Consider the following 13,866-nt stretch of genomic DNA (forward strand, 5'->3'; position numbering starts at 1 on the left):
CAAGCGAAGAGACTGCACCGACAGCACAGGCCAGAGGCAGTGATGGCTGGTCCCGAGTGGTAGCAGGAGAGAGATGGGTGGGTTTCAGACGTATTTTCAAGGTAGGACCAACAGGGTTTGCTGATAGATTGAAGTGTCAAGAAAAAAATCAAGGATGTCTCTGAGGTTTTCAGCTTGAGCAACTACAAAGATGGATTTGCCATTTTCTGAGAAGGAAACTACAGGAAAATGAGGTCCGGGTGGGAGATGAGGAGAAATTAAGAAGTCGGGATTTGTTTGGGGACTGAGAAATTTGAAATGTCTCTGACATCTGTGATGGATTTAATTGTGTCCCCCCAAAAAGATGTTGAAGTCCTAACCCCCAGTACCTCCGAAGGTGACCTTATTTGGAAACAGAGTCTTTAGGGAGATAATCAATTTAAAATGAGGCAATTAGGGTAGACCCTAATCCAATATTTTATAAGGACAAGAACAGAAAACCAGACACCGCAGGTTCTCACTCATAAGTGGGAGTCGAACAATGAGAACACATGGACACAGGGAGGCGAACAACACACACCAGGGCCTGTCAGGGTGAGGGGTAAGGGGAGGGAGAGCATTAGGACAAATAACTGATACATGTGGGGCTTAAAACCTAGATGATGGGTTGATAGGTGCAGCAAACCACCATGGCACAGGTATACCTGTGTAACAAACCTGCACTTTCTGCACATGTATCCCGGAACTTGAAGTAAAATTAAAAAAAAAAAAAAAAAAAAAAAAAAAAAAGGTGCTCGGGCAAGGTGGCTCATGCCTCATGCCTATAATCCCAACACTTTGGGAGGCTGAGGTGGCAGATCGCTTGAGGCCAGGAGTTCAAGACCAGCCTGGCCAACATGGCGAAATCCTGTCTCCACTAAAAATGTGAAAATTAGCTGGGCATGGTGGCAAGGGCCTGTAATCCCAGCTTCTCAGGAGGCTGAGGCACGAGAATCTATTGAACCCGGGAGGCGGAGTTTGCCATGAGCAGAGATTGCACCACTGCATTCCAGCCAAGGCGACAGAGAGAGACTCTGCCTCAAAAAAAGGGGTTGGGGGTGGGGTGGAAATTGAGACACAGGGAGAGAATGTGAAGAGACACGGGGAGAAGGCTGCGGGAGGACAGAGGCAGAGATTGGAGGGGTCCTGCCACAACCCAAGGAACATCTGGGCCACCAGAAGCTGAAAGAACAAGGAATTGTCCTTCCCCTACAGGTTTCAGAGAGGGCATGGCTCTACCTGCATCTGGATTTTGGGTTTCTGGGCTCTAGAACTGTGAGATAAATTTCTCTTGTTCTGATCCGCCCAATTTAGGGTACTTTTTACAGCAGCCCTAGGAAATTAGCACAGAATCCAAGTGGGAAAGCCGAGGTCATGGGTGGATATGAAACTGTAGAGTTCAAAGGAGAGATCTGGACTAGAGAAATAAAATTTGGAGTTTTCACCAGATGATATTTAAAACAACGAGACTGTATGACGTTCTGAAGGTGTATAGACAGTGAGCCCTGGGGGAACTGTTGCTTTAAAGGGTTTGGGAGTTGAGGAGGAACTAGCAAAGCAAACTGAAGGCATTGCCAGTGGTGTAGAGGCAAACCAGGAAGGATAGTTCCCAAGTAAATAAAGTGTTCTAAGGAGAAAGGAACATTCATCTTGACCAAATGCTACTGGCAGGAAGGAATGTTCATCTTGACTAAATGCTACTGGCACATTATGTAAGGTGAGGACTAAAAAGTGACCATTGGATTTAGCAACATGGAGGTCACAAGAAATCCACACTCATCGATTCAGATAGGATCAAAATCCTCACTGGAACGAGTTCCAGAGAAACTTGGAGAGGAATTAGAGATGGAGAATAAGTAGCTCTTTAGAAGACTTGGGCTATCGAAAGCATCAGAGCAATGGGATACCAACTGGAGGAATAACTGGAGGAGAGTTGCACAGGCAGGAATAGAGAGAATTGCTAGGGCGGCCTCCTGCACAACAGGAAGGGGTGAAATGTGGGGCATGGGGGAGAGCCCGTCTCAGTGGCACAGTCATCTCAGCATCAGAACAGGGTGGAAGGTGGAGAACCTTGGGGAATTGGGGAAGCTTGTGTAGGTCTCTTCTTCTTTTTTTTTTTTTTTTTTTTTTTTTGTTTGTTTCTAAGACAGAGTCTCGCCCTGTCGCCCAGGCTGGAGTGTGTGGAGTGCAGTGGTGTGATCTCGGCTCACTGCAACCTCCACCTTCCGGTTTCAAGTGATTCTCCTACCTCAGCCTCCCGAGTAGCTGGGATTACAGGCACCCGCCACCACCCCTGGCTATTTTTTTCTATCTTTAGTAGAGACAGGGTTTCACCATGTTAGCCAGGCTGGTCTCAAACTCCTGACCTCGTGATCCGCCTGCCTCGCCCTCCCAAAGTGCTGGGATTACAGGCGTGAGCCACCGTGCCCAGCCAGGTCTCTTCTGATTGACTCATTTTCCTCAATGAAACAGGAAGCAAGGTCATCAGCTGAGAGTGAAGATGTGGAGTGGGAGATCTGAAGACAGAGGGGGAGGCATGAAATTGTTCTGTTGTGGAAACGAAGGGTGAATGGACTGGGAAGGGCAGCACAACTCCCAGGCAGCATGGAGGGCTCGCTGGAGGCTGTGGCCATGCACTCGTCAGCATGGCTATGCCAGCCAGAGGGGAGTGGACTCGGTGCAGGGCTGTGACCAGGTGTCAGGGGTAAGCTGGGGAGTTGAGGGTTTTGTGAGGGAATGATGGGCATGACTGGCTGTAGGGTGAGCTGGGTGAGAAGAGAGACCAGGACAGAAGATGTCAAGACCTTTGTTGAATGAATGGGCAAAGATAAAAAAAAAGAAACTGTCATCTCAAACAGTTCAAGTCAGGACTGCAAAAGAGGACCAGGTGCCTGTGCCTGGTAGGAAGGAGGACCAAGATGGCTTCCAAGAGGAAAAGTCTTAAAGCATGAACGGAAATTTGGACAGACAGATGAGCAGGTGAGGAATGGGCAGGTCCAAGGAGAGAATGTTGTGTGCCAGTGCCACCCCAGAGGCGGCAATACAGGTGTGGCCTGCAGGTAATGCACTTACCAACAGGCCTAGAAACTGCCTTCTTCATTACTGAGGATTAGTAATAGTAATTATTATTTCTTAATTATAAATTTAATGCTCCTTTGTCACTCCCAGTGTGTGTGTATACACACACACACGAGAATTATGTATGTAACAATGACATATTTACATATGTAAGAAATTATAAAATTATCTATGGCTGGACACAGTTGTTCATGCCTGTAATCTCAGTGCTTTGTGGGGGGCCAAGGCAGGAGGATAGCTTGAAGCCAAAAGTCAGAGACCAACCTGGGTGCCATAGCGAGACCCTGTCTCTGCAAAAAAATTTTTTTAATTAGCTGAGTGTGATGGTGCATGCCTGTAGTCCCAGCTACTCAGGAGCCTGAGGCAGAAGGATCACTTGAGCCTAGGATTTCAAGGCTTCAGTGAGCTATGACTGACCTCTGCGCTCTAGCCTGGGTGACAGAGTGAGACCTGGTTTCTAAAAATTTAACTAATGTGTACATTGTATAAATATAAAACAAAAGCATATTGTCTGTCTCCTCCCCCTACCCACCACCCGTCTCCATTCCAATTTCCTTCTTCAGATCTTATGAACATTCTTCCTAGCCACCTTTAGGCCAACTCCTCATCTGCTGGGTTTCATGCAGTATTCCAGAAGACCAGCCTGAAAATAGAGAACTCAAGCTCTTGTATGTTTAGTCTGGGTTCCTGCCAAATAACGTGCAGCACTGTCGAGAATGATGTGACGGACAGAGCTTGATGCACAGCATGATGGGGCACCCTGTCCACTTGCCTGTGAGTCATGAACATTTCATCATAGGGTTTACAGTTTTTTGTTATAGATGTTTAATCACAAAAATAACAGAGGCCACTTACGCTAAGTATATTCTGTGAGGATCATTCTTGCACACGAAAGGTAACAGCATGACCTTGATATGGTAAGGCCTTGGCATTGCAGAGGAGAACAGGCTGCAGAAGGTAATGTGCAATCTCATAAACTGGACTCCTTGTCAGCATTCTTTTGATATTTCACAAATGACAAAAGTCATCAAGAGAAGATTCCAATGGTTCAGATATTTAACGGTCACCCGTGTTTATACTACTTTTGAATGGGTGAAACTTTAGGATGGGGATTAGTTAAATCATGCTATAAATTCAGGCCCAGAAAATAATGGAGAAAGAATTCCCAAAGCTACTAGAATTCTCCCACAATTGAGATGTCAGTTCACACCCACAGAGGGCTTCTGGTGGTGACAGTTGGTGGAATGAGAGCCAGGATCCTACAGCAACAGCCCTTCATGAAGGGCACATGAAAGCTCTGAAGAGTGCAGAAAGTCTCACTGTGGTCACTGGATGAAATTATGACCTCCAGTTTCTCAGAAAACTAAAAGTGGATCCACCATTCGATCCAGCAGTCCCACTACTGGGTATGTAACCAAAGGAAAATAAATCATTATATCAAAAAGACACCTGCATGCATGCGCTTGTCACTGCACTGTTCACAATTGCAAAGATACGGAATCAGCCCAAATGCCCATCATCCGATGAGTGGATAAATAATATTTATAGAAATATTTATATACCATGGACTACTACTCAGTCATAGAAAAGAATGAAATAATGTCTTTTGCTTTAACTTGGATGGAGCTGGAAGCCATTATTCTAAATGAAGTAACTCAGGAATGGAAAACCAAATACCACATGTTCTCACTTATAAGTGGGAGCTAAGCTATGGGTACGCAAAAGCAGACAGAATGGTATAATGGACATTGGAGACTCGGAGGGGGGCAGGTAGGGGAGTGAGACATGAAAAACTGCCTATTGGGGTACAGTGTACACTGTTTTGGTGGCAGGTGCACTAATATCCCAGACTTCATTGCTATCCATGTAACCAAAAACCACTTGTTCCCCTAAAGCTATTATAAAAACTTGTTTTGCAAGAAATTGAAACTTAAATTTTAGAAAACTTTTAAAAAATTATGACTCTGGATTCCTATAAATGTCTGCTTCTGTTTGGTGTTGTATCTATAGCAACATAGTGACAATATTAGGTAGCAATTTCTGAACCACAGCTTTGAAAATTTGAGCAATGGTGTTTCCAATTTCATTTATTAAATTCTTTTAAAAAGTTTAGTTATTACCGATGATGGCAAAGAACATTTAGGTTTCATTAAGTGAGAGTTTTTTATGTTATAGTATTCTATGTTTTCTTTATCTATTAATGGGTTTTTCTTCTTATCTGCAGTGACCCTGTCTCTTTGAAGTTTTAAATCCAGCCTAAGTTTTCAATAGTTGGTTTGTATTTCTAATACGAAATTCAGAACATCCTTGATCATGATTTTATTTATTTATTTTGAGATGGAGCCTCTCTCTGTCACCCAGGCTGGAGTGCAATGGCGCAATCTCGGTCCACTGCAACTTCAGCCTCCCAGGTTCAAGCGATTCTCCTACCTCAGCCTCCTGAGTAGCGGGATTACAGGCACCCGCCACCGTGCCTGGCTAATCTTTGTATTTTTAGTAGAGATGGGGTTTCACCATGTTGGCCAGGCTGGTCTCAAACTCCTGACCTCAAGTGATCTGCCCCCTTGGCCTCCCAAATTACAGGCGTGAGCCACTGCGCCTGGCCATCCTTGATAATGATTTAAATCCACTTTTCCATAGGACTAAGCTTGACTATCTTTGACACCATTTTGACCACATTATTAACTCTAGCAAATAGGATAAAATATAACAGTCATACTTTTAAAAAATACCTTCCCTACATCCAGAACTGGGTTTCTGAAAAATAATAAATAGGAAAATTCATGGTTGAGGGACAACATTGGGAAGCAATAGCAATAGGTGACCTGTGAGAACCCGAAAATAGTTATTTCTTCATTCCACATAATACAATAAAGGTGAAGCACCACATAAACAGTCCGCCAATTGTATAAACATATTTTAAAATAGTAATAACAAATATTATTCAGTAGTTCGTATTTACCATCTCCTGCTTGGCAGAAACTTTTCAAGAATCTGCCATTTCCAAAATTTCATGAAGATACTTATAAAAGCATCTCCCTTATTTCTGGAAATATGCCTATTTTCCCATGTGTCTGTTGTGATAGACAATTGTTCAGAGTCATTCTGGTTTTAAGACTCAGTTATTCTTTCTCTCCTTGCCTTAATTCTTTCCTTAAGTCCTACCTAGTGCTTTTTTTTCTTTCTTTCTTTCTTTTCTTTTTTTTTTTTTTTTTTTTTGAGACAAGATCTGTCGCCCAGGCCGGAGTGCAGTGGTATGATCTCAGCTCACTGCAGCCCATACCCGCCGGGCTCAAGTGATCCTCTCATCTCAGTCTCCTGAGTAGCTGAGACTACAGGCTCATGCCACTAGGCTCAGCTACTTTTTTTCGTTCATTTTTTGTAGAGACCAGGTCTCCCTATTTTTCCCAGGCTGGTCTTGAACTCCTGGACTCAAGGGATCCTCCTGCCTTGACCTCCCAAAGTGCTGCAATTACAGGATCACCACACCAGGCAGCTATTGCTTCTTATCTGGTTCCTTGAGATGCAGAGTAACCGGGCTGCTTTGAATGAAAGAAGGCTTGGAATAACCATCATTTAACCTATTTCACTTAACCCAGCCCCCTGTCTGTCAATAACCAGGTTTCCCTAGCCTAAGCTCTATCTGTGATTCCTTCCTGCTAAAGCACAGGCCTAAGGGCCTCTCACAGGAGAGTGCAGTTCTCTTTCTGTCTTCCTCCTTTCCCTTCATATTAATTGGTTTTGTTGCAAAAACCCGTATTTCTTTAATTTTTTTTATTTTTTCCCTTCTTTTCATGGAAGTCATAAAAACCTGGTCATTCTATTTCTAACCCCGGTTCTCTCTCTCTCTTTTTTCTTTTTCTTTAACGTTTTTCCAACAAGATTGTCTGTTTATGCATATCCTCTGTATCTGGAATTGTCCCAATGACTTCAAATATGTGGGGGTATACATTTTTGTGCACTAAAATTTTGAATAACAAGAATTTTTGTTTGAAAGGGATCATGGCATCCTATTTTAATTAATCTCAATAACAAATAACTTGTTCAATTCTAGAACCACAGTCTGTCATATCTACATATAACAGTAATAGCAGTTCAGATATGTAAAACTTGTTATTGCTCATCCTGTAAGGCGAAGAAAACACATTCTGCTGATGTCTTTGTTTTCAATACTTTTTCTCTCATTCATTGTGATCAGGGTGGTAATACACCTGTTTTAATTTATTTTTGATCATTTTTCCTATTTTGTTTTGTTTTTCTGAAAGACCAAAACTTTCATTTGGTTACCCCTTTCAAAAATTTTGTTTTTTGTTTTTCTTTCAACTGTTGACATACTCTCTCTGAGACATATGGTAACATATTATTTCCATGGGGCATGCCTAGGCATTTTGTGGGAAATTACATGTATTTCACAGAAGTAGATGCTCTTTTTGACCAATATTTTTATTTTAAATGCTATTAACCAATATGCTGTTAATATTCAGCAAGAGTAATCAAGTAACTCGTCCAGTGAAGCTGATGGGATTCTTGAGAGAGTGCAAGGTTTCCCTCTCTGGAGAATCTGTTGAAGGAGGGTTTTTGCATATATGCTGGTTTAAAGGAAATGGAGGTGTTGAACTTTAGAACCATGTTGCTTATGGAAATAGCTTCGCGTAGAGTAACTCTTAGTCCATTTTGAAACCCTCTTCCCTAGAAATTTCTATCTCTTTCATTTAATACTGTGGCAAGGTTAATAATATTTACACATACTTTCTTCTGTGTTGTGAGATGTTAGTTTAAGTTGGAACATGCTGGCTTGTCATTTTCTAAAGTGAATCAGTTTATCTTTGGTTTAGCCTGAAATTGCAGCAGAGAGTACGCATCCTCCTGGGATCTGAATGTAAAATAACTGAAACAGATTGAAGTTGGCAGTGACTAATGAAGTCTTGCGCATAAGTCGGCAAGTCAGTAGGTTTCTGCGTATCAAGAAGGAAGAGCAGAGGAACCCGAGCCCCTGGGGTCTAGGCATTTCTTCCTTCTTCCCCCTGTGCCCAGCTCTGATGGAGGAGGGGAATTTAACCACAGATATTCCACCTACATTCTTTCTAAAGACATCAAATTCCTAGTATACAAATTCGTTACATTACTGGTAATTCCCAGCTAGCTTCCTTGTTTAACGAGCCGTTTTAGCTGCCTAAAGGTATTCTACATAGCAATTTTAATCAGTCATATAAAATTGATGAAGCTGAGATACCAGGGAAAATTAGAATGGTTATATTGTTTCTTTGATAACTCCTTCCGCAGGCTGGCTACACTGTTCCACCTTTAGTGCCCTGGAAATGACTCCATGTCACCAATTTACATAGTAAAGACCACTTTGCTCATAGCTGAGTCTCAGTATGCCCAGTGAGGCTTTGTGTTGTTTTGTTTTGTTTGTGGTCAGCATTCATATATTTCCGTACATCACTACACGTATACACCTTTACTTCAGAAAATGCCAGATTAATTTCTTTGTTTCTTTCTTGAAATGTTTTCTTTTTGCACTTTTTTTTAACCATTAACATGGTATCAGGGATCCATAGTATCGCGTTGTATTTACAAGATTACAGAAATACAATCTGCTTGGCACATTTAGAAATATGTTTTGAAAGAAATTGGTGTGCTGTTACCCTTCGGTTCAGTTCTCCCAGCCCGTTCCCACATAGAGAGCAACAAGATTTGTGTTTTCCAGCTCATTAAACTGACAGCAGAAATTAGATTGTGGTATTAAAAACTAAAAAGTTAAATTACAGCTACACATGTCCTTTATGCAGTGGGGCGTGTGGAAGATGTTTGATTTTAATGTTTGCTATAATGGAGAATTTAAATTACAATGTTTGTCAAATCTCTAATCTTTGTTACAGAGTGGAATATTAATTACGCTTTTAACTATGAGAGGTAAATAAAATGAGCATCCACTGCACGCCCAGGGGTAAATTGCAGATTACCAACAACGTGACATAATGCACTAAATGTCAGTTTTGTCAAACAAATTTAGAAGAACGGTTAAACTATTAGCTTCCTGTTGTTCTAGGGCCTTTCTTGCAGCAAGCAACTATTGGGAGCAGCAGGGACACTGTGCCTTGTGGAAGACTAAGGGAGTTAAATTGAATAAGCAAGATGAATGGGGAGACAGCACCACAGAGGCACTCAATTAGTTTATAACTGTCTATTAACTTCTGTAGGTGGTTTTGAATAAACAGCAGATTATCTGTTGCACTCTTGGGGGACAAGGGGAGCCATGGGAGAGGGTCAGTGTAGCGCTCAAAGGAAAGAGATTTTTTGATTCTCAATTGCCCTCTGTCTTCTCCTTTCCTACTTTTGTGCATGAAGCATGGGTAATGGTTGTCAAAACCTTCTACATGTTTAAAACTTACACGCATACAAAGGAGCAGTGCCCGCCTTGACATTTCTCTTGGCAGTTCTTGCATGGAACACTGGTGTGATGCCCCCAAAGAATAAGTTGAATTTAGGTTCTTTGGCTACTTTTTCAGAACATGTTCTTGGGAAAAGAGTAGTAACTCTTGGTTCTTAGAACTCAGGAAGATAAAACCTCTCCATGAATGATCATAGCCAGGATTTCTTTCCAGAGAGGGCTGAGAGTGTGGAGGGAAACTGATGGAGCTCTCTGCATCATGCAGTACATCCTGGAGACTTGCAGGGCGTGGGAAGTCCCCTTGCTTCCAGTGAAGGCATTGTTTCTAGCTTCAGTGTTTATGCAAGTTCTAATCTCCTGATGCTTACCTTAGAGTACATTTAGGAACCAGTGCTCTGTTAATGGAAAAACTAAATTCTAAAAGATTTTTAAGAGGCTTATTCTGGCCAAGCCCGGTGGCTTACGCCTGTAATCCCAGCACTTTGGGAGGCCGAGACGGGTGGATCATGAGGTCAGGCGATCGAGACCATCCTGGCTAACATGGTGAAACCCCGTCTCTACTTAAAATACAAAAAATTAGCCGGGCGTGGTGGAGGACGCCTGTAGTCCCAGCTACTCGGGAGGCTGAGGCAGGAGAATGGCGTGAACCCAGGAGGCAGAGGTTGCAGTGAGCCGAGATCAGGCCACTGCACTCCAGCCTGGGTGACAGAGCAAGAGTCCATCTCAAAAAAAAAAAAACTTATTCTGAGTCAATATGAGTAACCGTGGCCCAAGGAAAAACAGTCTTAAGAGATCCTGACAAAGTCAAGAGAGTCAGATTACAGTTTTCTACATTTTGGAGAGGAAGGAGTTACAGGCAAAGACATAAATCAATACATGGAAGATATTGATTAGTTTAGCCCATAAAGGTGGGATATCTTGAGGTGGAGGCTTACAAGTCAATAGATGGATTCAGAGATTCTTTAATTTGCAATTGGTTAAAGGAACAAAACTTGGTCTAAAAACTTGGAGTTAGCAGAAAGGAATGTTTTAAGTTAAGATAAGCATGCTATGTCAGAGTCAGCCACAATATGACCTGCTTAACAAAAGCAGTGGCTTGCAGGCATGACTTAACCCTTGCCTTAGGTATTGTTTATAATTTGATATATCATTACCACAAAGAGTATGTTTAGTCAATCTTATGATCTCTATTTTAACATTAATGCTGGTCAATTATTGTGCCTAAACTCCAAAAGGGGGCGCTATAACGAGGTGTGTCTGACCTCCCCATCACATCCAGGAACTCAGGAAAATTTTTAAGATTTTTCTGAGTTCCTCTTGGCTACAAGTCAGTGGGGAGCTTAGGATTTTCTTTTACCGCATGGTACAATCACTAGATCATTATAAAGAATTGCAAATTTTAATGAAATTGCTGAAGAAACATGGTGAGAATTAAAGGGGAAGGAGATAAAAGATTAGAGATGAAGGAAAAAACAAGACCAAGAAGATGTGGAAACTATGAGTGATGACTTCCGAACTTTAAAGTATTTTTAGTGCTTCTGAATTTATGTCCTTCAAACTGTGTACCAACTTGCTTTTTTGAGCATGCAGACATTACATAATGCAAGCCATTTATCAGAGTTCTTTTACATAGCACAGAACAGTCATAAGATACTCTTACTTTTCAACACACATACACACACATATATCCCACAAAGGGATTCATTTTTCTTTTGCTATTTTGAAAAGGCTGAGAAATGTATGCCTCCACCAGCAGGATTGGGGCATTCTTTATGTGAACCTGTCCCACTTAAAACCAGTTGTCAAGGAGAGAATCAAGATAAAACACAGTGTGTGGTGGGTGGATCCACTAAGTGAGGAAAGCTTATTAGGAAAGAGTTAGGAAAGCTGTAGTTCCTCCTGAATAAGACTCCTTTGAGAAAAAGAGCCAAGACTTAATCTAACTCTTGGGTATCTGTTTTGACACCTGTGTCTGTAATTGCTGGTTTGCTTTGTAATAGGGGTGTTTTCTTTGGTCATCCATTGAATTACCTTTAATTCAATTACCATTGAATTACATTGAATCGATGCTCTTAATACCTAAGTTTTCTTTGAGCTAAATGTAAGCATTTATGTGCTGATGGATGTTATTAAACCCTACATCTCCTTTATAATCATTCATGAGATCCATCAGCATGAGGGCAGTTTCTTCATCAACAGACTGTACAAAACCCTTATGAGGTAAGATCTCAGTGAACAAAATGAGAATAATCAGATGAAATAATAGTCAAGTGATTGCCCTTGAAAAATAGAGGCACTTGATACAACTTAGACTTGAAGTCTCTTTTTTTTTCTGTTTTTCCTCCCACTAAACTATTGCAGATTTGACAGGGTGTTTATTTTGCAAATATGATTGGAGGGATTTGTCAAGGAAGACTAGGATAGCAATGGTCATGAAGAAAAGCATTATCCAAATTATAACCCAAAGTTTACTCACCCATTTCCCTGTGTTCCCTGGCACTTTGTGGAGCCTGTATTGTTGTCGCTGTGGGGGTTGGTTTCACATGCCGTCTATCCCAGTACCTGTGAGTTTCTCAGAGGCCAGGGCTGTCATTGTCACCCTGCATCCCAAGTACCTAGCCCAGTGCTGAGCTCACAGGGGATGCTTATGCAATGTTGAATGGATTGTTAAAAGAAAAATGTTAGACAAATTAAATTTAACAGAGTTTAATTGAGCAAGGAAAAATGATTAGTGAATCAGGCAGCCCTCAGAATAAGAGCAGATTCAGAGAGAGCCAATGCTGCCATGAGGTTGGAGAAAATTTATAGATAGAAAAACGAAAGTGACACACAGAAGACAAAAGTGAGGTACAACAGCTCCATTGGTTACAGCCTGGCATTTGCCTTGTTTGAACAGTTGTTTGCCTGTGAGTGGATGAAGTCTGGTGCTGAGTTTGTCTGGGGCTCGGCTATTGTTACAGAAGCACACTCCTAGCTCAGGTTTTCAGTCCGCTGATACTAAATCAAGTTTAGCCTAAACCTTCCTCCTTACATATTTTAATTTTGGCCTACAGATTTCCCTGTGCATAGTGAACTGTAACCTAAACAGACTGTAACCTACCAATGATTGTGATTGTGCCAATCACCAAGTCTTGGCCAAAGGTGGCCAACTGCTCAAACTGGGTTCAAGCAAGGCAAATACCACACTGTACCCAGTTCATTGTTTCTGTACCTCACTTCAGTTTTCTGTATGTACCTCACTTTTCTTTTTCTGTCCATAAATTGTCTCCCACCACGTAGCTGCACTGGAGTCTCTGAGCCTACTTTGGCTTGGGAGGCTGCCCAATTCAAGAATCATTCTTTGCTCAGTTAAACTCCATTACATTTAATTTGGCTAAAGATTTTCTTTTAACACTGACCTGCTAAGATAAGTTGTGGTTTGTCCATAAGAACTCAAGTATGCAAATATGGAGGTTTTTTCAGGCCAGATTTTGGTTGATTTAACAGAATGAATACTGGAAAAGACACCTTTCATGGGTATCCAGATATCCAAGAAGAAATCACAGTGCTGTTTAAAACAAAATTAAGCCATTAGGGAAAGTTTTTGTCTCATTTTTCCCTCCTATCTGTTGAGTCCTTACCAGGTATAGGAACTGTGCTTTACATGTATTCTCATTTCATTTTCATCAACCCCCTACAAAGTAGATGACATGCTTTCTCTGTCAAGCATATGAGGAAACCAAGATTTTACAAAGTTTCCATCTCTTTCATAAGGAAAGCCGGAACTGACAGAGTATGGGGGCTGGGGACGGGATCTCTTCCGATTGCCATTTACTCATTGAAATAAGTTTTCATCTGAGCGGGGACAGAGAATGGTTAATGGAGGTAGAAGGAGGTAAGAGAAAAGGGAAAATCAGTTTTCCTAAAATGTAATGTCTGTCATATTATTCTCCTGCTCAGCAGGACTTTCCTTGTCTAAGAATTATGTACCCACTTCTCAGCTTTGCCTCCAAGGCATTCCACAGAATGACACCAGGGTTTCACTATAGGCAGCTTATGCCTTATTTGGTTTTCTAAGCATTTTTTGAACTGGGCATGGTGGTTTGCACCTTTAATCCCAGCTGATCAGAAGGCTGAGACAGAAGGATTGCAAGCCCAGGAGTTCGAGACCAGCTTGGGCAATATAGTGAGACCCCCCATCTCAAAAATAGATAAATAATAGGCTAGTGTGGTGGCTCACACCTATAATCCCAACTCTTTGGGAGGCTGAGACGGGCAGATCACCCTGAGGTCAGGAGTTCGAGACCAGCCTGGTCAACATTGCGAAACCCCGTCTCTACTAAGAGTACAAAAATTAGCCGGGCGTGGTGGCACATGCCTGTAGTCTCAGCTACTCG

General features: G+C 41.8%; 1 protein-coding gene across 31 annotated transcripts in view; it reads left to right on the forward strand.

The window, feature by feature from the left end:
- PTPRM (protein tyrosine phosphatase receptor type M) overlaps positions 1–13,866 on the forward strand; it is an 839,541-nt gene that overhangs the window by 641,936 nt on the left and 183,739 nt on the right. The window contains exon 16 of one of the 31 annotated variants that reach the window (XM_017025912.2): positions 3,660–3,696. The exons of the other annotated variants lie outside the window; for them this stretch is intronic. Within the exon in view, the coding sequence (XP_016881401.2) occupies positions 3,660–3,681 (22 nt within the window). The 3' untranslated portion in view covers positions 3,682–3,696. Of the gene's footprint in view, positions 1–3,659; positions 3,697–13,866 lie in introns of those variants that run through there. 31 annotated transcript variants of the gene reach the window in all.

This window comes from Homo sapiens, chromosome 18, assembly GCF_000001405.40.
Source record: "Homo sapiens chromosome 18, GRCh38.p14 Primary Assembly".
Classification (NCBI taxonomy): Eukaryota; Metazoa; Chordata; class Mammalia; order Primates; family Hominidae; genus Homo; species Homo sapiens.